The 22,638-nt window shown below is 35.7% G+C and overlaps 1 protein-coding gene across 31 annotated transcripts in view; it reads left to right on the top strand.

Annotated features, from left to right (window-relative positions):
• The window catches only part of PICALM (phosphatidylinositol binding clathrin assembly protein), a 112,686-nt gene that overhangs the window by 63,898 nt on the left and 26,150 nt on the right, over positions 1 to 22,638 (top strand). For 10 of the 31 annotated variants that reach the window (XM_047427660.1, XM_017018385.3, XM_005274334.4 and 7 more), the window contains exons 9-14: positions 2,512 to 2,597; positions 4,805 to 4,928; positions 5,184 to 5,320; positions 9,034 to 9,137; positions 15,564 to 15,713; positions 21,990 to 22,097. In XM_047427660.1, the coding sequence (XP_047283616.1) occupies positions 2,512 to 2,597; positions 4,805 to 4,928; positions 5,184 to 5,320; positions 9,034 to 9,137; positions 15,564 to 15,713; positions 21,990 to 22,097 (709 nt within the window). The remainder of the gene's footprint in view (positions 1 to 2,511; positions 2,598 to 4,804; positions 4,929 to 5,183; positions 5,321 to 9,033; positions 9,138 to 15,563; positions 15,714 to 21,989; positions 22,098 to 22,638) is intronic. The other 21 variants (XM_047427666.1, NM_001206947.2, XM_047427668.1 and 18 more) reach the window with 3 other exon arrangements.

Below are 22,638 nucleotides of genomic sequence, written 5' to 3'. Positions count from 1 at the left end.
CTTTAACCTCCGTTCCTCTTTTCCTCTGTATTGATGATCTCTGAGCAAAGGTAACTTGCCAGGCATTCTTTGGCTGATTCAGAAAATTTTCAAAAGTGAACAAAACAAAGCTATTTACACTTTAGGGACGATGGTGGTAATGCAGAAGAGTGAAAATTTGAGATTATTTACTCTTTTTTTTTTTTTTGGTAATTTCTTTTAAGGTGTAAAGCATCACATTTTCTTCACTCTTTGGGTTTTGTTGGGGGAGGGAGAGAAAAGATAGGCTTTTGCTTTGTCACCCAGGCTGGGGCGCATTGACAAAATCATGGGTCACTGCATCCTCACCCTCCCAGGCTCAAGTAATCCTCCCACCTCAGCCTCCTTTGTAGCTGGGACCACAGGCATATGCCACCACACCCAACTAATTTTTTTATTTTTTTGTGGAGACAGGGTCTCCCTATATTCCGCAGGCTGGTCTCAAACAACTGGGCTCAAGCAGTCATCTCACCTCTATCTACTTCCGAAAGTTTTGGGATTACAGGTGTGAGTCACTGTGCCCAGCCTCCTCACTCTTTGTCGTGTGGATTTGACTTTTGAAAAATAGCCAGATATATTTAGAAGGGATTTTAGAAATGGTTTGTCTTACTAATCATAACTTGGTAGTTTAATATTTTTATTTGTAAGCCACAGCTTAAACCCTTCAGAAAAAAGATAAACTACAGTTTCTATGACCACAGTTTCAGTCCAGGATTTGGTACCATAGTAGTTAATTATGTAGTCTTTAAAGTCAGAGATACCTTCCCTATCTTGGCTTCTGTTGTGTATCAGATATGTGATCTTGGACAGATTACTTAATCTTCACTGTCTCAGGTTGTTTATCTGTAATATGGATATACCAGTAGTGTCTACTTCATAGATTCAGTGACTACTACAAGGTAGCTAGCACAGTACCTGTTGTGTGAGAAGAGCTTTTTAAATGTTAACCACTATCATCAACATCCTCCTTATCATCTCTGAAAGCTCTTAAGACAGTGCTTTGCTTGCTGATTAGCAAACATTTTTGCTGGGGCTGTTTGAAAGTGTATGTATACTCTCAGTTCAACAAAGAAGTTCATCTTCCAATGTAGTATTTGGTTTTAAATGGTTTTCTACTGTGTCTCCCTTGGGCTAGGGTCCTGGTATATAGAGGGAATAGTGGATGAAAGAAGTTGTTAAAGCCATCAATGATAGAGAAATTAGCAGGTATTGCCCCTTTAACTATTTTTAGATCCTGTATCCAGAAACTGTGTCTCAAATCCTATAGAATATTTAGGGTAAGTAAATGCTACTGGTGCATTTGCTTCACTTAGAGCGGACAGTTCTTAGTCTGCACACTGAAAAGGTTTCCTTTTGAGAGCTTTCTTCATATTAAGTTGAGATTTGACCTATAGCCTGAGTTTAAAATTAGTCTTCCATTAAAAAAAAAAACGTAAGTATTCATTTCAATGCAGTTTGATAAATAAACATTTATGTAACCAACACATCATTCAAGATAGGAAAATTCTATTTCCCCAATCCTTATGCCCCCTTCCAGTCACTTCTTACCCACCTCCACAGTCACTGTTTTGATTTCTAATAGCATAATTTTGTTGGTTCTTAATATAAGCGTAATCATACAAGTATTTACTTTTGCATTCTGGCTTTTTTTGCTCATCGTATTGTTTGAGATCTATGTTGTTGAATATACCATTAATTAATTCTTCTTTATTGCTGAATAATATTTACCACAATTTTGTCTATCCATTTTCCAAATGATGGAGTTTTGGATTATTTGCAGTTTTTGACTATTGTAAATAAAGCCACATTAAACATTAAGTCTTTTCTTACAGAGATAAGTTTTTATCTCTTTGGGGTAAATAGGAATGGAATTGGGTCATTAAGGTAGGTGTGTATTTAACTTTGTAAAGAACAACCTAATCCATTTTCAAGGTGATAAACTCCTACTAGTGATATATGAGAGTTCCAGTTGTTCCATATGCTCACCAACATTTGATACTGCAGATGTATTTAACTTTAGTCATTGTAGTAAGTGAAAAGGTGTATCTCATTGTGATTTTCATTTTCATTTCCCTGATGACAGTGTTCAGTGTCATTTATCAGTAATTATTCCAGAGTCATGTTTGAACACATTCAGTTGCTCATCAGGTGCTTATTAAGTACCTTCTGCATGCTCAGTAGTATGTCGAGCTTTTAGGAGTATGGTTTTACTTTAAAATTTAAGTACTTGCAAGATTTTTAAAAAATGTTTCATGTTTACATAGTTTTCAGTTCTTAACGTTTTTGATAATGTTTCTTAATATCTCCAACTAGGTCACGTTTGTATAACAAAAGTAAGATTGTCATTCTTATTAAGTAGCTAAAACTCCACTGTTAATTAGTACATGAAGAACATACCTGTTTATTTTTGTTGCTCTCTAATTAGATGATACTTGATTTAATTTGACCAGTGGCCTAATTATCATGAAATTCTTAATATTTGTACAATTGCAGGCCCCTAGCAGTCTTCTTGATGCTTTGGAACAACATTTAGCTTCCTTGGAAGGAAAGAAAATCAAAGATTCTACAGCTGCAAGCAGGTATATCATTCTTTGTAGGCCAAAAAGCCAGAGTGATTTTTCTGAGGCAGTAGATGAAACCAGCTCAAGTTCCAAGCTGTTTAATTTCTCTATATCTTGATTTCATTTTCTATAAAATGGATTTAATCATAATATCAGCCTCATAGAATTAGTATTAGGATTAAATGGATTAATACATGCAAATTCTTGAAATTGTTTCTGACCTTCAATAAATGTCAGCATCTGTTAAGATAATGACAGTGACTGCATAGTTTAGAATTGTGTTTATGATGTCAAAATTTCTCCTAAAGATGCTAATGCATTGTTTTATGTGGTGCTTTGTAGTTATAAGATACATTTTTTTTTTCTTCCCCCGAGGCAGAGTCTCACTCTATTGCCCAGGCTGGAGTGCAGTGGCACAATCTCAACTCACTTGCAACTTCCACCTCCTGGGTTCAAGCGATTCTCCCACCTCAGCCTCCCAAGGGTGGGACTACAGATGCATGCCACCACGGCCGGCTAATTTTTGTATTTTTAGTAGAGACAGGGTTTCACCATGTTGAGCAGGCTGGTCTCGAACCCCTGAACTCAAGTGATCTGCACACCTCAGCCTCCCAAAGTGCTGGGATTACAGGCATGAACCACCGTGCCAGGCCTATAATTGCAAGATACTTTCGTATTAATTTGCTCAATCCTCACAATAGCCCTGTGAAGTATGTAGTAGCAATGCTGGGACTCAAACCTAGAATATCTGACATCAAATTGCATCATCTCTGCCTAATGCCAGTTCATGGGGTTGATTATTGATATTTTATATTTTAATCACTTTATTATGTTTTAAGCTAATTCCTCAGACTAAGACCATTTAACCTAGCAAATTGAAAGTAACAGAAATCATTTCATATCAGTCTGGTAACATGATTTTTGTATTGGGTTAAGAAATTACTTGAGTTATTCTCATGTTTTCTTATGAACCTTTTTTTAAAACAGCATGAAGAAAGAATTTGTATAGTGAGAACCTTCCTTTGGTTCTTTTTAGACTTTCTGGTTGTTTCAGAACTTTTGATCTTTCTTTTAGTAATAAAATTTAAATAATTTCCAAAGGGAAATGCCGTTATTGGATTTTAGTACTCATTTTTAATCCTAGATTTGTACTTTGAATTTTCTAGTAAGATTTTCGAAGTAGCAGTCAAAACAATAAGTCTCATTTATTTGAGAGAATAACGAAAAAAAGAGCCACGTAGTTCAGGTGCACCAATTTACCTGAAATGTTTATCATAAAATTTATTGGTTTTCTTGCATTTCTGTCACAACTATGTTATTCTTCCTTTGTCTTCTGAATTGTACCTTTTTATTGGCTTATTTATAATACTAATATTACATAAAATTTAAAAGGTAGTTTTTACCACTTTACGTGCTTAAGAGTAGAAACTAATGATGTTTGGTGTGTGGTAAAAGGAAAATTAATAAAGCTCAAGGTAGTTCTTCAGGTTAGAATTCTTTACCACTTGTTTTACTTAGCCTAGAGTTAACATTTGGAAAGTTAATGTTGAGGTTTATAGTGTGGATACGTTTTTGATAAAAGGGAAAGGAGGTGCCTTGCCAGTGAAAAATGATACATTGTACATGTATATTAAAAAGGAAATTCTGGTTTGGCAAAAGGGCAGCACATAGAAAGATGCCAAATGGCCTGATGACTAGATTGAAACCAGTCTTCTTTTGAAGGAACCTGAAGTCCTCTGGGGATGTTGTTATAGGTGAAACATACCTAGACTTACGTTACGTGTTACTGGTATGCATGTTTTGGTGTTCCTGTGGCACTGCCGAAACGTAGGCTGTAAATTAGCAGAGGGTTTTCCCTGTGATAAACTCAACACTTTTTCCCATCAGGGATTTTGTGGGATTATGTGGGCTCTTTCCCAATTGCACTGGTTTCCTCTCTTGGGGCTTGGAAGAGGCAATGTGCCCCACTCTGTTGTGAACCCTTTCCAAAGTCAAACACTTACTCTGAAAGCAGTGAGTGTATATTAAGTCAAGATTTTTCTAATTGCTTTAATCCTGTAGATCACTAGGTAGAATATTTCATCTGAAGTACTGGATTTGAATCCAGAAGTTAAGTTTATAATTATAGTGCCTATCCATGGCAAGGTTGCCAGACCATTTCATGACCTGGGTGTAATGTGAAGTGTTTAGCAAAAAGCCAAATTATCTCTGTTCAATTATCCTAGGGCAACTACACTTTCCAATGCAGTGTCTTCCCTGGCAAGCACTGGTCTATCTCTGACCAAAGTGGATGAAAGGGAAAAGCAGGCAGCATTAGAGGAAGAACAGGCACGTTTGAAAGCTTTAAAGGTAAGTTTGTGCATTCTCCTTATTTCGAAAAATGAGTACAGGTGTTCATTAGGTAAATGGGGCCTCTGCACAGACTTAGAGTCTTAAATGTATAGCTACCTAATGGGCTGAAACTCAGTCTAACTTTTCGTCCTGACATAGAATTAGGTAAAACAGAATATCTGCTATCAGAACAAATTAGAAAATGCTTTTTTCAGAGGCTGTACAAAGAAATCTGGTTTCTGGAATCCTTATGGTAGTTCCCTTTCTTAACAGGAACAGCGCCTAAAAGAACTTGCAAAGAAACCTCATACCTCTTTAACAACTGCAGCCTCTCCTGTATCCACCTCAGCAGGAGGGATAATGACTGCACCAGCCATTGACATATTTTCTACCCCTAGTTCTTCTAACAGGTAGGAGTAGAAGTTAAGGTTACCTTTGAATATGTAGGTTCAAAGACTTCTAATAGAAATTTTGCAGAACTTTTCAGGTTTACTTTTATTTATGCTTTTATAATCTATTCACACAAAGAGGTGGCGATAAATGGTGATATTGGTATAATACCTAAAGATAAAGTGATGAGTTTATATTTTACGTATTTACGAAATGGAAGATAGTTAAATCACTGATTTATACTAATAGGAATATAGCTGTTATCTCTGGGCCAACTTTTCATTGTGTAAAAATTATGATTAAACACATTTATGAGGCATCTAATGGTTCAAGACCCTTTATAGCTCTTTGACATATGGATATGATATATATTTCAAAATACCATTTCATTAGATATTAAACGTCTGTCATATCTGTTTCCTGGTTTTAAACTCTGTAATCTGGAACACAGTGACAGAGTTTAGTTGCCAGGTTTCTTGGTATTGAAGCCTACCAGACTAACTTTAATAATCTTGTTGTCTAATTTAAGCTACTTAACATGGAAATATAATATTGCCAGGTAAAGTAAAACAATTGGCATTTTCTGAACCTCAGAGTGGCTTAAAGTAGTTTTAAAAGTCAGATTCTGGTTTGAATCCTGGCTCTGTTAGTTCTTAACTTTTTTTGAGAAACCTTGTTTTCAGATGAGACTGTGGTTCTCAACTTTAACATCAGAAGCATTTGGAGAGTTTATTAAACTACAGATATCTGAGTCCCAATCCTAGAGTTTTGATTCAGTAGGTGGGGCCTGGGGCCCAAGAATTTTTGTTTTTAAGATGCTCCCAGGTGACTAGGTTTTAGCACAGTGCATTATTAGCACATGTTAAATGTTCCATAGAGAGTGGTGAGTTTTTTCCTTTCACTTTGTTGTTGCTGTTTATTAACTCACCCTTAAAAGCTCATCTGCCTGCCTACTGACTCCTAATAGCTGAGCCTAATAGCTCAGTGTAAGTTTTACTACGTGAACTGCTTGCTGTATGCATGCTCAGTTGCTACCTGCTCCCTGAAATCTTAGTAGGTGTTTGTTGAATTTAGTTCTTTTTTTTCTTTCAGCTTTATGATTTGTTTGCTCATGTATGCTACCTTCTTTAATCCCCAGTTAAGTAACATTGACCCCATTAAGGGGCAAGTTCTCAACATGGAGATCTTGAAAAGAAGTCTGTCCTAGGAGAAAGAAGTGAAAAGAATGTTCATTGTTCGAGGCTGAAACAAATTATTGGATAAAGAACTAATTTCACTATGTTTTATGTCACATACTAAAAATTTTCACCTTTTTAATAGTAATTAAGGGCAAATCTTACAGCCCATTTACAGAATTATTATTGTATATTCTATATGTTCCCCAAAGCACTAAATGCGTTTATATCTACTATCTACACAACTATTGTACATCTAAAAGACATGTCTTCAAAACTTTTTTATAAAAATACAGTTAGAAGGAATAAGTTCTAGTGTTTGATAGCACAGTAGAATTACTAATTAAAAACAATTGTATTACCTATATCAAAGTAGCTAGAAGATTTAGAATGTTCTCAACACAGAGAAATGATGAATGTTTGAGGTGTGATAGATGTCCTGATAATTACATGGTATGCATGTATCACAATATCATATGTATCCCATAAATATGTACAATTATTGTATATCCATTTAAAAAGAAAAACATTCTATTTTGGAGAATATATAAGTTAAAAATTAGGAGCTGGGTGTGGTGGCGTGTGCCTGTTGTCCCAGCTACTCAGGAGGTTGAGGCAGGAGGAAGGCCTGAGCCCAGCCGTACAAGCTAGCCTGGGCAACATCTCTTGGTCTGTTTGTCTGTTTCTCTCTCAATCTCTCTCTCTCTTTTGAGACAGTGACTTACTCTGTCACCCAGGCTGGAGTGCAGTGGCACAGCCATGGCTCACTGCAGCCTCAACCTCCTGGGCTCAAGCATTCCCTCTGCCTTAGCTTCCCGAGTAGCTGGGACTACAGGCGCACTCCGCAATGCCCAACTATTTTTCGTATTTTTTCGCCATTTTGCCCAAGCTGATCTTGAACTTTTGAACTCAAGCAGTCCGCACGCCTCAGCCTCCCAAAGTGCTGGGATTACAGGCATGAGCCACTACACCCAGCCTCCAGACCCCTTCTCTTAAAAAAATTATCTGTACTGTGTTTGAATTCTTAGACACTCTGGGGTCATGTTTTGAGTTGTTCATTAAAATCACATAGAAGTCGGCCGGGCATGGTGGCTCATGCCTGTAATCCCAGCATTTTGGGAGGCTGAGGTGGGCGCATCATGAGGTCAGGAGATCGAGACCATCCTGGCTAACACGGTGAAAGCCCATCTCTACTAAAAATATAAAAAATTAGCCGGGCGTGGTGGCAGGCGCCTGTAGTCCCAGCTACTTGGCAGGCTGAGGTAGAAGAATGGCATGAACCCGGGAGGCGGAGCTTGCAGTGAGCCAGGATCGCTCCACTGCACTCCAGCCTGGGCGACGGAGCGAGACTCTGTCTCAAATAAAAAAAATTACATAGAAGTCTTGAGGTAGAAATATATCATGTAAGCCAGGCATGGTGCCTCCCGCCTGTAATCCCAGCACTTTGGGAGGCTCAGGTGGGTGGATCATCTGAGGTCAGGAGTTCGAGGCCAGCCTGGGCAGTGTGGTGAAACCCTGTCTCTACTAAAGGACAAAAATTAGCCAAGCATGGTGGCATGCACCTTTAATCCCAGCTTCTTGGGAGGCTAAGGCATGCCAGTCACTGGAACCCAGGAGGTGGAGGTTGCATTGAGCCAAGATCACATCACTGCACTCCAGCCTGGACAACAGAGTGAGACTCTTGTCTCAAAAAAAGCAAAACAACAACAAAAAAAGAGGCTGAGCACAGTGGCTCACGCCTGTAATCCCAGCACTCTGGGAGGCCGAGGCAGGCGTATCACCTGAGGTCAAGAGTTTGAGACCAGGCTGGCCAACATGGTGAAACCCTGTCTCTATTAAAAATACAAAAATTAGCCGGATGCGGTGCTGCGCACCTGTAGTCCCAGCTGCTTGGGAGGCTAAGGCAGGAGAATCATTTGAACCTGGGAGGCAGAGGTTACAGTGAGCCAAGATCACGCCGCTGCACTCCATCCTGGGCGACAGAGCGAGACTCTGTCTCAAAAAAAAGAAGAAAGAAATATATCATGTAAATAGTGTGTTGTGTGATGGGGTGGCTCTATTCATAAATGCATGTAAAATTTTTTCCCTGTATCATTGATACATAGTTTGGACACTGAGGCACTAGAAGTGAGGTTAATGAGTATTTTACTGTGTAGTGTATTGCAAATGTGATTCAAGTTCTGTGAATATTAAAAGTAAGAAAAGAGTTTTATTAAAAATATTAAAATTGCTGTGATATTTTGTATTTTAGAATCTTGTTGTTTAGGTTCATTTTAATAGGGAAATTAGTTTTTTCTAGGGGAAGACATTCATCCTTTTCAGAAGAGCTACTGTTCTTTGAATCTTATATAAACTTAAGATATGATATTAGATTATTTTTCCAAGCCTCCTTAGAAATATGCTGTCATATGAAGAAACTGTTCCTCTTTTGAGATTTATATTAATGAGACTTTTCTCCCTTGTTTTTAATGTTTTTATCTGTGGTGGGTGGAGAAGGTGACACTAAAGTAGCAAAGTTTTTCTGGTAAATAAAACACGTTTCCAAAATATCTTTCTAGCACATCAAAGCTGCCCAATGATCTGCTTGATTTGCAGCAGCCAACTTTTCACCCATCTGTACATCCTATGTCAACTGCTTCTCAGGTAGCAAGTACATGGGGAGGTAAGCATTGATGAATTCTATTTTAGATGTTACATGCATCTCTCCTCCTCATTCTGTGGTGTTTACTTATTTGTAGTTTTTTATTACACTTGATACATGAGAACTTGATAAGTATTAAAATGGCAATGAAGCAATTTTATCCCTTGAAGGTATGTTCATTTATTATAAATAATTTAGGAATTTATGTTCAATTAAATTATGAAATGACATTTAATAAAGATAAAACTAAATGTAAGAGGAAGGACCAAGTGTGTTTTTAACTATGAGATTATTCTTTTAATGTTGAATTTTTATTCCATAACCAGAAAATGCATGGTGGTTATTTCGATTTTGGTGTAGAATTTTTTTTTTTTAACTTTTGGGGAATAACTTATCTTTGTGTTAAGTATATGATATAGTTCTAATAAAACTCAGATGGTATTATCACACAGGGAACATGTTGTGACCATAATTGTCTCGACCAGCTTTATGGTCAAGACATAAATGTTTTAAATGTTTTTTTAATTAAGACCTGAAAGATTTTGCTAGTCAAAGAATTTTCCCCTTGTACCAATAAGAATGTTTGCTGCCCTTAAGCAGTTCTGAAGTGATAGGCTTATCTCTCATAGCAAGATAAGTTAATTATTCTAATGAGTTTTTATAGTATATAAACAAAGCTTTTTTTCATTTTATTTTAATGATTTGAATTTAAGAACATTTTAAATTATTTTTTTGAAGGAACTATATCCTAGAAAGTAAGCTCTGTGAAGGCAGGTTTTAAAATATTTTGTTCCGACAAGTAGTTTGTAAATGTTTGTTGAATAAGGTGGGGCACAGAGCAGATAGTAAAACCCTAAAACACTAGATTTCATGGTAATTTTGTGAGCCTGAACTTGATTTAAAAAACTAATTGACTTTGAAGGCTAGTTTAATTTAGCTAAGTTTTAAGATCTGAGAGTAATTCCTAAAAATGACAAGATATTAATAGTTTAAAGTTAAGTATTTTAGAATTATTTCAGAATGAACTATAGATAGTAAATTAAGATTAAGAAAGCAGTTTCTTAATATCCTAATGTTATGTTCTGATTTTTGGATTCTTAATTATTTTCTGCCTTATTGTGAATTGCTTTAGAAAAGGTTAGTAGAATTAACATGACCATTTAAGCAGTTTCAGCTTATTTCCTTTTTTAAAGAAATGTAGTAGTCTTTTTAAAACTAAGGCTGAGTTGTTTTTCTAAATAGACTAAAAATTTTATAGAAGGCCAAATAAAAATATATTAAACATTTCAAAGAAGCTGAACTGCAATTCCTGTTTTGTCTGGACACCATGTACAACTAAAAATGACAAGTTGAAGTTTCTACTTGAACTTGTTAAAGTCACATATGAAAGCAGATAGACTATTACTGTGGAAGAACAATTCTAAGTAATTTCAGTCTGTAAGAATTGTTCTATGTCCTGTTATAAGACATTATTCCATCAAAGTCTCTATGTGACAGACTGCAATATATTGGAATACATTTAATCATGTTTTACTTTTCTATTTTCGGTTATTTTGCTTTGTATGCTGTTTCTGTAAAAATTTCCCCCATATTAAGTCCTATAAATTAATCAGAATTAAATCCTGTCTTAACTTTCATATAAGGATATTTGGCTTCTGAGTTGGTGATAAACAAGGTTTTGACTTCTGCATGATACTGAAGAGTACTTTAAGCCAAGAAAGTTCTAATTCAAGTCAGTACTCATATCCAGGACAATCAGATCGATATATTTTTTTTAATTTTTAAAATTAAAGTTAGACTAAACTAACTTAAACTTAGACTGAAATAAAGAAATCTCATATAAGGCCAGGTGCGATGGCTCACACCTGTAATCCCAGTACTTTGGGAAGCCAAGGTGGGCAGATCACATGAGGACAGGAGTTCCAGAACAGCCTCGCCAACATGGCAAAACCCTGTCTCTACTAAAAATACAAAAATTAGCCAGGTGTGGTGGTACACATCTGTCATCTCAGCTTCTTGGGAGGCCGAGGCATGAGAATCACTTGAACCCCGGAGGCGGAAATTGCAATGAGCCGAGATTTGTGCCACCACACTCTAACCTGGGAGACAGAAAAGAAAAGAAAAGAAATCTCATGTATGAGAAGCTTAGATCATAACATTAAATGCTTAAGGTATTTTGAAGTTAACTATTTACTTGAACACTTAAATATGTAACATTTTACATATAATGCTGCTGTTATAGTATATGACAAAGCAAAGGTATGATTTTTTTCATAATCCCCAAATCTTGTACTGTTCTTTTATTGGCTTTTATTAGCTAAAAATGAATGCCAATAACAGACGTAGTATTTAATTTAGTTCTTTTAAACACCACAGAAATGATGCGCATTCCTAGTCATAGATTAGTGATAAGATAGAGATAAAGGGAAGAAAAGTTTATATGTATATATGAAAGACATTTAAGATTCTACCTTTTGGTAGAATGAAAATGGGAGAACACAAGCTCTCTTGTTGGCCTCATTGTATTATTAATGAGCCTTGACTTTTTCAACAAATGTTGTGGAGTCTAAACAAGCAGTCGGTATTGAATACTAATATCTGAGAAGACCTAGGTTTTCATCACCCTGAAAATTTTGGATGATAGCAAACTTTGAATTTTTATATCTAAAAATATACAATATTATCAGTTTGGTACACTGTTGAATATTTGAAGCAAGATTTCAGATTTTAGTTTAGGTGTAATAGAATTATCCATTCTGAAGTTTAATTTGCTTTACTTTTAGCTGGCATGAAACACAAAACACTTGATGAAAAAATTTGATTATCTGGGCAGGTGCAGTGGCTCATACCTGTAATTGCAATACTTTAGGAGACCAAGGCAGGAGGATTGCGTTAGCCCAAGAATTTGAGACCAGCCTGGGCAATATAGCAATACCTTGTCTCTACCATGTTTAAAAAAAAAAATCAGTTTAGTGTGTGTGAATGTAGGTATCAGTTGTTTAGGACTTAAAGGCGATAATATGACTGTGGTGCCATTTTAATCCTTGTTTTAACTTTTTTTGGATTTTTTTAGATGACTCTAGTGTAGCATAAAATTAAACTTTTGCGCCAGGTGTGTGGTGGCTCACGCCTGTAATCCCAGCACTTTGGGAGGTTGAGGTGGGTGGATCATTTGACGTCAGGAATTTGAGACCAGCCTGGCCAACATGGTGATACCCCATCTCTACAAAAAATGTAAAAATTAGCTGGGTGTGGTGGTGTGCACCTGTAATCCCAGCTACTCGGGAAGCTGAGGCACGAGAGTCGCTTGAACCTGAGAAGCAGAGGTTGCAGTGAGCCAAGATCATGCCCCTGCATTCTAGCCTGGGCGACAGAGCGAACCTCTGTCTCAAAAAAATGAAAAAATTAAACTTGAATGAATAATGAAAAAAAAAGGGACAAAACTATATTTAAAAATTTTAGACTGGGTGCAGTGGCTCACACTTGTAATCCCAGCAGTTTGGGAGCTGAGACAGGCAGATTATTTGAGCCCAGGAGTTCGAGACCAGCCTGGACAACATGGCAAGACCTTGCCTCTACAAAAAAATCGGAAAATAGCCAGGCATGGTGCCATACACCTGTGGTCCCAGCTACTCAGAAGGCTAAAGTGGGGGGATTGCTTGAGCACAGAAAGGTCGAGGCTGCAGTAAGCTATGATTATGCCATTGCATTCCAACCTAGGCAACAGAGCAAGACTCTTATTTAAAAAAAAAAAAAAAAACTTTAAGGGATTTCGAATTGCCAGTTTAATAGGTTAACTTGAAATAGCTGGAGCGTTATTATTATACCTTAATGAATTGGTTTTTATTATTATAGTGTAATGTCCATTAATAGATTAACATCTTGTAGATTACCTGTAGTGTTTTGTCAAGTAGATTAGGAACTGGTTTTCCTTATCTGATTGATCTAATTATGAATGCATTTGCAAATATTTCTGAATATTCTTCTCTAAGGTGTTTCACGTAATAGGAAGTGATTGAAATTAGGTGCTAGATAAAACCTATCTGTCAGTAGAACAGCGGATGACTGGTAACCTTTCCTGAACATGTGTTTTCTCATAAACCAATGGATCTGTTACAGAAATAATGTGTCTTTAAAAAATTACGTATTTCATGGCTTTTTTTGCGTGAAAAACAGATATTTTACTTGTCTGACAAAATATAATGTACTTTTAAAACTCTATGCAGCTGTTAATATCATGTATTTAAAAACAGAACATTCGGCCGTGTGTGGTGGCTCATGCCTGTAATGCCAGCACTTTGGGGAGGCCAAGGCGGGTGGATCACCTGAGGTTAGGAGTTCGAGGCCAGCCTAGCCAACATGGTGAAACCCCCGTCTCTACTAAAAATAGAAAAATGAGCTGAGCGTGGTGGCACGCGCCTGTAATCCCAGCTACTCAGGAGGTTGAGGCAGGAGAATTGCTTGAACCCAGGAAGCGGAAGTTGCAATGAGCTGAGATCACACCATTGCCCTTCAGCCTAGACAACACAGCGAGTTCGACTCTGTCTCAAAAAAAAAAAAAACAAAACACACCCAGAACTTTCAGCCTAACTGGCCAACTGTAAGCTTAATGCAACTCCTTTCTTATGCAAGAAGAAGCTAGAGTGGCCATCAGTATATATATTAGCTAAAATATATATATATTTTTAGTACTAAAAACCAATGTCCTTGTTGGCTCATGCCTGTAATCCCAGCACTTTGGGAGGCCAAGGCAGGAGGATTGCTTGAGTCCAGGCAGGTGTTCAAGACTAGCGTTGGTATCATAGCATCTCTACAAAAATTAAATTAGCCAGGCATGGTGGCACATGCCTGTAGTCTCAGCTACTCGGAAGGCTGAGGTGGGAGCATCACTTGAGCCCAGGAGTTTGAGGCTACAGTGAGCTCTGATTGTACCACTGCAGTCTGCCTGGGCAACAGAGCAAGACCCACTCTCAAAAAGAAGAAAACAAAAAAACCCACCGTGCCCCCCTGCAACTTCTTGTAACTATTTAACTATTTTCTAGTTTCTATTTCTGAATTACTGTTTTCTGATTCTTTTTTCCCAGTGTTCCATTTATTGGGGGTGGAATGATGGGAAAGATTTCGAGTTTGAATAGCATAATCAGCATATTTTGATAGATTTGTAGGACTTTTTTTTTTTTAGTGTGAATTGATGTTCCATAAGAATACTATATAGAAAAGTTCTTACTACAGAAAAAGTTGTATTTAAAAGATGTGTTGTTTTTAAAATCATAACCTGAGTATTTTCTTGATTTTTTTTTTTCCTTTTTCAGACAGTTGTATTTGAGCTTGTAGAATGCTTGCCTTGAATTTTTTGACTTTAAAGGAAGTGTGCCTATATCATAGTAAATGAGCTGGTCCTTAGGCCACTGTTGCCTTCTTAATGTTCAATCATACAATCTTAAGAGTAAAATACAGTACCTAGTACTATGAAGATACCACAGTATATTTCAGTGAAGGTCAAGAACTAAACTAGAACAGACAAGAAGATTCCACTGTTGAGAATTACAGGAGTATCCTCTTATTTTAATTATGTTACAAAGAAAAAATTATACTATTTTTGCTGCTTTTTATTTTTTCTTTCCCCATTTAGTTAGCTCTTTAAATCTTGAGAAGTAAGGAAAAATAGATTTCAGTCATTAGAATGATAATTATCTTGAATAAGGTATCAGTATAATAATTATCTGACTCTAGAATAACTTTAGATAAAGGATTTGATATAATACATATTTATATCATTCTAGTAGGCAAACAACACTTTTGTTGTTCCTTTAGCAATTCATTTAAAGACTAAAGCTCTTAGATAGACATTCAAAGGTGTTCGCAGTCTATTAAGTGGACATTCTTTCATCTCTGTTCTTAATTATCTAAAATTCTTTCCCCCATCCTTAGATTTTTTTCTTCATCTTTATTTTTTATTTTGAATCTATGCAGGAATTATCTGCACATGCCAAAAACAGCTTCTTAGCCCTAATTTGTCATTACCCTCTTTTTTTCTTTGAAAGTTTACTCACAACACACATACCAATTGTCAATATCAATTATTCAAGTAAACACAGCTATACCACCACGACCAGCACACTCACCTAGGACAGGGAAGATTGGTGCAAGATGGGTGGCTCTTTATAGAAACATCTTGGTTATTATTCCATTTTTTAACTACCTGACTGTTGGCTTTGTGGTGTTAACAAATAAAAGGATTTTTTCTAAGGATTCACTTAAAAATATATTAAATGCAATTCTTCTATCTTGATGATTAGGTATTTTTTGTTTTTGATAATTTAGATATTTAAGATTAATAAACAATAATATAGTTACTACTTTTCACTTTGCATCTTTTGACTAATTACAATACTAATTTATTTACTTCCTTTCTTCATTTTGCTATAATACATTTGGACTGCACAGATCCTTTCTCTGCTACTGTAGATGCTGTTGATGATGCCATTCCAAGCTTAAATCCTTTCCTCACAAAAAGTAGTGGTGATGTTCACCTTTCCATTTCTTCAGATGTATCTACTTTTACTACTAGGACACCTACTCATGAAATGTTTGTTGGTAAAGTACCATTTAACCTTTTTTTCCAATCAATGTTTATACTGCCTAACTATATTTTACGTGTCCATTAATTATTTTAAAAGCACTGCAATAGTTACTTTAGATTTTAATATCAAATTCTAAAACTAACCAGCCATAATGTAGTGAGGTTTTTAAATTGACACTGGTATCCCAATTTTATTTATACAGACTTTTAGGAAAATTTCTCTTGATGTTGAACTTTTTTTTTTTTTTTTTTTTTGGTGTTTGGTTCTCTGTCGTGTTATAGTGCAATACTCTAGCTGTCTAGTATCACATGCAGCTTCCTGTTTTAGTTTGGAGAACTGGTTGAAAAGTAACATCACTTAAACTTACATGTTTATATGTGATTATATTTTTCTCTTTGTGCTTGGGAGAGAGGGTGGTTAATCACTCTTAGCAGCTATCTTTAATATTTTATTTCTCTTTTAACTGTTGCACGTCACAGTTTTATATTGTCCAAAATCTATGCATATCTTTTATCCCATTCTGAAGGATTTCACTTTATTGATAGTATGGAGATAAAAGTAGGAAGTATGTGTTTCATTTTAAATAGTAAAGCAGAAACACGACTTGGATATCCTGTAATTACAGTATAAAAAGGCAGAATTTCACACTGAGGTTATATAGGGAATAGTAAGTTTTAAAGTATATGCTGAAGCTGAAATAAATGTTTTTGAATTCTGCTGAAAAAGATGCTAACTCTGCTCCCCCTCAGCCCCAAAGATGATGAAATTTCTTTTGTTCAGTTCAGAGAAACAGCTTAACGGTGATGTGAATTTAAATATTTGATTAAAACAGCATGCAGAAAGTCATCAGTATACCCTCAACAAATCATGTGACCACATTCTAAATATTCTCTTAGATATATATAAGTGAGAGGAAGGAAGAGAAGGAAGAATTAACTAGAAAGCAAGTTAGTAGATCAGACAAAGTTCCAAGTCAGGTGTTGTAAAAATATGACTAGTCTAATAGCTTAAAACACATATATATCCAAAGTGTGATAATTCATTGCAGTAATTCCTTCATGTCATTTTGATACAAGTTGCCAGCCCTTACTCTATAGGATTAAGAACAATCCAGAAAAATCAGAAGAGCTATGTATCTAGATAGCCTCTGACCTTGACAGAGGGAAGACATTTATCTGATACAATGATCAGTGTAATAGGTAGCTTGTCCTCATTGAAGCTTTAAGAACACTGAATTGTACATAAAGGAGAGTCGTGGTCTTAACTATGCTGCATATGTGAGTGTCTGTGAAAGTGTGTAGGCTTGCTTTCTTAGCTGTAAAACCACACATTAGAGGACACGATAGTGTTGGCTAAAAAGCCAACTGCCTAATATTTCTTTTCTAATGAGATACAGTGTTGGGTTTTTCTTTCTAATTTATGCAAACGGAATATGTTTTTTTAATACTTCATGGAGCCTTAAGTTCTTTTTTTAGCAAGTTGTAATTTGAAGAATGCCAAGTGCTTGGGCTCCCCCCATTTTTTGTTTTTCTTGATTACCCATCCCACTCATAACTGTTCCTCCTCTTCTCTTTCTTTTTTTTCTCTTCTTCCTCTTCTTCCTCACGTGCCTCCCTAGCTGCTTCCCTGATTCTTTCCTTCCCCTTCCCCTCTTTTTCTCCCTTTCCTTACTCCTTTCCTGCCTTCCTGCCTTGTATGCCTTGTCAGAATTTTTTGTGTCACTTAAGTTTGTCCTAATACTTCCTTTATGTGCCTTGTTTCTTCTACTGTAGCCAGCTCATTTGGAGCTAGATAACAGTATCTTTACAACTTATTTATGCAGGAAGGATTTTTTTTTTCTTAAAATGAGTTTTTATAAACTTGGTAAGAAAAAATATACTTATTTGCTTTCAGAGAACACACTAGTTTTTGCCTAACTTCATTTGCCTTAATTAAACACTTGGTGGTTTTATGAATAGTTGCTTATCATCTTCTTACTTTACTCCATTCTCAAAACCTTAAATTTTCAGAAGCATGAAAACGTTTTAATATTACAAGGTTATGGAATCTGAAGTTTTGTATTATCTATGTCTTTCCACATATGTTCAAGGCCAGTGTGGTAGCAATAAAACCTCAAAAGTCCAGCTGATATTTTCTGTGTGCATAGTAGTTATTACTGTAGTTAAGTTGGCATTAAAAAGAATGTTTGACACAACTAAAGAATTGAGGCTCTTGATTACAAGAATTGGACAGGACTAAATGTATTTTAAAATGGAATTTATTAGGGCATTTGATGGTATATGCTTGGAGCCTAGTGAACTTAGGTTTGAATTTTAGTTCTGCTTCATGAACTTGACTTTAAGCAAGTATTTAACCTTTTTAAGGCTATGCAAGTTGGGATAATAGTGTCTTGCAGGATTGTCCTGAAGTTTACATACATGACTATGTAACATCTAGCACTTTGCTAGGTATATAAAAGTATCAAAATGACTACTACTAAAAACCATCTCGGGAGCTGGGTACAGTAGCTGGTACCCATAATTCCAGCTAATTAGGAAGCTGAGGCAGGAGGATAGCTTGAGGCCAGGAGTTTGAGGCCAGCCTCGGCAACATGCAAGACCCTATCTCTCAGAAAATTTAAAGAATTTAAAATTCTTGTATATGTGGACCACATCATAATTAGAATGTACTTCTCACCTAAATTATTATGTAGTCATCAACTAAAATCCTAAACATTGATTTTTTCTTTATTGCTTTTAGATTTTAAAATTGCCAAAGATTATTCACTTTTTTTGGTCTAATATTAGCAATGAAAAGCTCAAGAAGTTCATAAAATTTGGGTTGTTTTTAATAATAGTTATAGCAATAGTAAAAAATTTCTTTTTCTACTTACTATATTATGTAAGGTGAAATACTTGGGATTAAACTGAAAACCCTAATAGATTCTAGAATCAAACAAATGGGGGTTCAAGTCTTGGTTCTGATGCTTACTAAATCTTTGACCTTGGGTACATTATGTAATCTCTCTTTGTTTCCTCATCTGTAAAACAGGGATAATAATAACTATGTCATAGGGTTTATGTGAGGTTTAAATAATACCCTGTTTATAAAGCCCTTGCTTAGTGCTTAGTAGTGTTTAATAAATGGTAGTAGTTACTTTGACAAAAAAGTATGAGTCCTAATTTATTGTGAAACTACCACCAAAATCAATTAACAATCCACCCAAATTTTGTAAAAGGTGTTTGGAATGTCTTTCTGTCCCCAAAGCTTGTTGATCTTGTACTTTTCAATTAATTTATTATTGTCCTCTTGAGATTTAACCTGCAGGCCAGTGGTTTCTAAATGATAAACTGTGGATTGGTGCTGGTTAGTGAGAAAGTTTTCACTGGGCCTTGGTGAAATGGAAGAGTAAGCAGGACAATGTAATGATATCATAAAGTTAACCTTAACTCAGAGCTCAGCGCCTGCTCTTTTTAGCATGTGCGCACGCGTGTATGTGTGTGTGTGTATTTCTGTAAACTTTCTCTTTTAGAATAGTGATACTAGCTGGGTCTTTTTGTTTTAAATAACTTTTAAAAATTAAAAGTTGGCGAGGGCCGGGCGCGGTGGCTCACGCCTGTAATCCCAGCACTCTGGGAGGCCGAGGCGGGTGGATCATGAGGTCAGGAGATCGAGACCATCCTGGCTAACAAGGTGAAACCCCGTCTCTACTAAAAATACAAAAAATTAGCCGGGCGCGGTGGCGGGCGCCTGTAGTCCCAGCTACTCGGGAGGCTGAGGCAGGAGAATGGCGTGAACCCAGGAAGTGGAGCTTGCAGTGAGCCGAGATTGCGCCACTGCAGTCCGCAGTCCGGCCTGGGTGACAGAGCGAGACTCCGTCTCAAAAAAAAAAAAAAAAAAAAAAAAAAAAAAAAAAAATTAAAAGTTGGCAGTCCTGATAGTTTCACAAAAAGTCGATAATGTGCATTGAAATTATGATGTAAAACTCTAACCTTGTTGGTGTATGTGTTTCAGGCATGCAGTAATTACTTAAAAGATTTTTACTTTGGAAATTTGGAAATAAACTGCTTGCCTCCCTGATAACTGTGTGACTTTAAGCAAATATTAATAGCCGATTAGCTATTGCAATTTATTAATTTCTTTTTTTAACTTTTTTTTACTTTTTCCCTCTGTTTATAGATGTTTTTAAAACTTGAGATACAAGTTCTGGGTTACTTTATAGTCTTTCTAACCTTGTATACTTTTAGGTAATTATGTCATAATTTCACAGATTGGTACCTCTAGGCACCTCAGGAGATGGCTCCTCTTTTTACAGAAAGTAATGAAGTAATTTCTGTGTGACTATAAAGGATAGGCTTATCTCTTATATCAATCATATTCTAGAAGGCTGAGGCAAAGTAGCAGGAGAAAATGGGAATTTGATATATTGGCCTAATTTTAAATTGTTGTTCCATATATAATCTAAAAGTTAGTGACATCAATAGCCAAGATTATTACCAGAATGATTTAAAGAACATTGTTTGTACTACTTACACTCTGATGATAGCATGGACACATAATTAAGCATGATGGATTTTTTTCTTGAGTAGATACATTCGCTTTTTATGTAAAGAGTTAAGAGAACAACCAATAAGCTGATGGCATAATTCTTAAACACCTTGCACACTTAAAAATATTATTAAATTGGTAAGTCTAGGATTCTCAGATCCTTTTGATGAATAGTCAGAAGATTTATATACTAAATTATTTCGTATTTTGATAGTGTTTTGTGTTCTCATTGTATGACCAATGTCTTTGACTTAATAGTAGTTTAAGGGTTACGTGATTATGGAACAAGATCAAACTGGTACATTCTCTAAAAATGTGTGCGCTACAGAATAGTCATTATAGGATGTGTAAAATGCTACTTTAAAGTAGTATCATTAGTGTGGATCAGCTTGTATGGTTCTTTGCTAATAATAAATTGTTGTTTCTGTCTTTGAGGACCTTCTTGGACATCTCACCAAATCTTGTCCTACTTTTTACAGTTTTCTTTGAGATCAGTCTCTCTAGTACAGCATGACATCATTATACTTTATGTCCTGGTGTTACACATTAAGAATTCAAAGTGAGATTCTGACCTGAATAGAGGAGGGGAAGAAAGGGATCCTAAATTTAGGACACCAAAAGTTTAACTTCTCCCTAATGGTGTAGTTTTTAACCTTCTAATATAGGTGGTTTTTGTTTGCTTCTTGGGTTTTTTATATTCTGACTTAGTAGAATTTAGAAAAGGAAGAGACCTTAGGAGCCTTATGACATTCCACGAGGTGAAATAATTTCTTCTTTGTGATCCTTGTGAGGTTGATATTTATTTGGATATACTCAATGATTGAAAGTTCTCCAAATCACATGACAGACCTAATATTTTTAGGGGATTTTAATTCTTTTCAGCCCCTAGACATTCAGAACCTTACTTAAATATAACCTCACATAATTGGAAATCTTATATTTGTTAACTCTGTATAGGCTGATCTTAAAGATGTGAGCTTATTGTCTGTGTAATACCACTAGCATTAGTGTAACGCAGGCAAGAAAGAATAAGGTCTGTTAATGGTTTTGTGTTGCAAAACTAGAGTCACCTTAATTAGTATGCTTGAGTTTGTGCTTGTCATCCCCACTGTTGCAAGTACTAAGTTGAAGTTAGAGAGTGGTTGAGAGTTGAAAGTGGCATATCTTTTTTCTTTGATGTTTTAAAAGCATATGGATACAGGTGGACATAAGGATTAGTGAGTTGGAACATTCAGAATCCCATCACTGAACTTAAGCTATTTCGCTTTTGATTAACTGTTGAAGGAAGGATGGAGAGAAATACGGAAAATGGGTAGGTGGGAGGGAGAAAAACTTTTATCTTGGGGCTACTAGAAGTTTCATACTTGTTTTTTAAAGCACCACAGAATTCTTACTGCATTCTCAGCTGATCCCTTAAATGTTTTGCTTCATGCAAAATCTTGTAATTTTAGATGTGTTTAGTTTTTTAAAGATTATCTGCATATAAAATTAAGGTAAAAGATAAGCAAAGATTTCTGTAATGAAGCATATTTTCAGTTCAGTGTGAGTTGCTCATTTGTTAATTTTGTCAGTAGGATGATTTTGTTAGGGAAAACGCAATCACTGCGAAAAATGTGATATAGAAAACATTTTGCTTGAAGGATTGGCTTTGTTTTTGTGTGGGGAATTTAGTGCATTTTCCATTCTATTGTCATCATTATTAAATAGTCGTAAATGTAGAGTTATTAAATAATTGAGCTTTTTTCCATTTTGGTTTACTCAGGATTCACTCCTTCTCCAGTTGCACAGCCACACCCTTCAGCTGGCCTTAATGTTGACTTTGAATCTGTGTTTGGAAATAAATCTACAAATGTTATTGTAGATTCTGGGGGTAAGGAAAAAAAATTTTATTAAAAATATTATAATGTCCTAATTTAGATTCTGTGTAAGGAAAAATAATGCTGCTTTTAAAATGTTTAGATATATTAAACTGGGGTAGCCAAAGAAATTGTCCCATCCCCCCAAGCACTAGATGAGAACTTCAAGGAGCTGTTTAGTCATTATTCTTTTATTGGTGCCAATTTAGACTTTGGGAAGAGTGAGTTAGTCCTAGAGCAAAATAAGAGAGAAAAAGAGATTTAGCTCTGTAGAATGCTAAGTTGCTTGTGACTATGTGTAGATGTTGTGCCTTTTTAGGCATACAATTTTTACTTTTACTGAAATGAATAATAACTGTATTGTCTCTTAATGTATGAAATTGGCTATGTTTGTAAACTAGAATAATATAACTTGTGGTACCTTGACTTGTTTAAATAGTCTGTGTATAAACAATTAGAATGTATTAAATAATCAGGCCTGTGGGTACAGGAGCTTTTTATTGTTTTATGAATGATTCTTATTATGGTTCATTTGTCTTAAAGGAACTTTATAGA

The sequence above is a fragment of the Homo sapiens genome, chromosome 11 (genome assembly GCF_000001405.40).
Source record: "Homo sapiens chromosome 11, GRCh38.p14 Primary Assembly".
In the NCBI taxonomy this organism is placed as follows: domain Eukaryota; kingdom Metazoa; phylum Chordata; class Mammalia; order Primates; family Hominidae; genus Homo; species Homo sapiens.
This window is presented reverse-complemented; position numbering and strand designations above follow the sequence as displayed.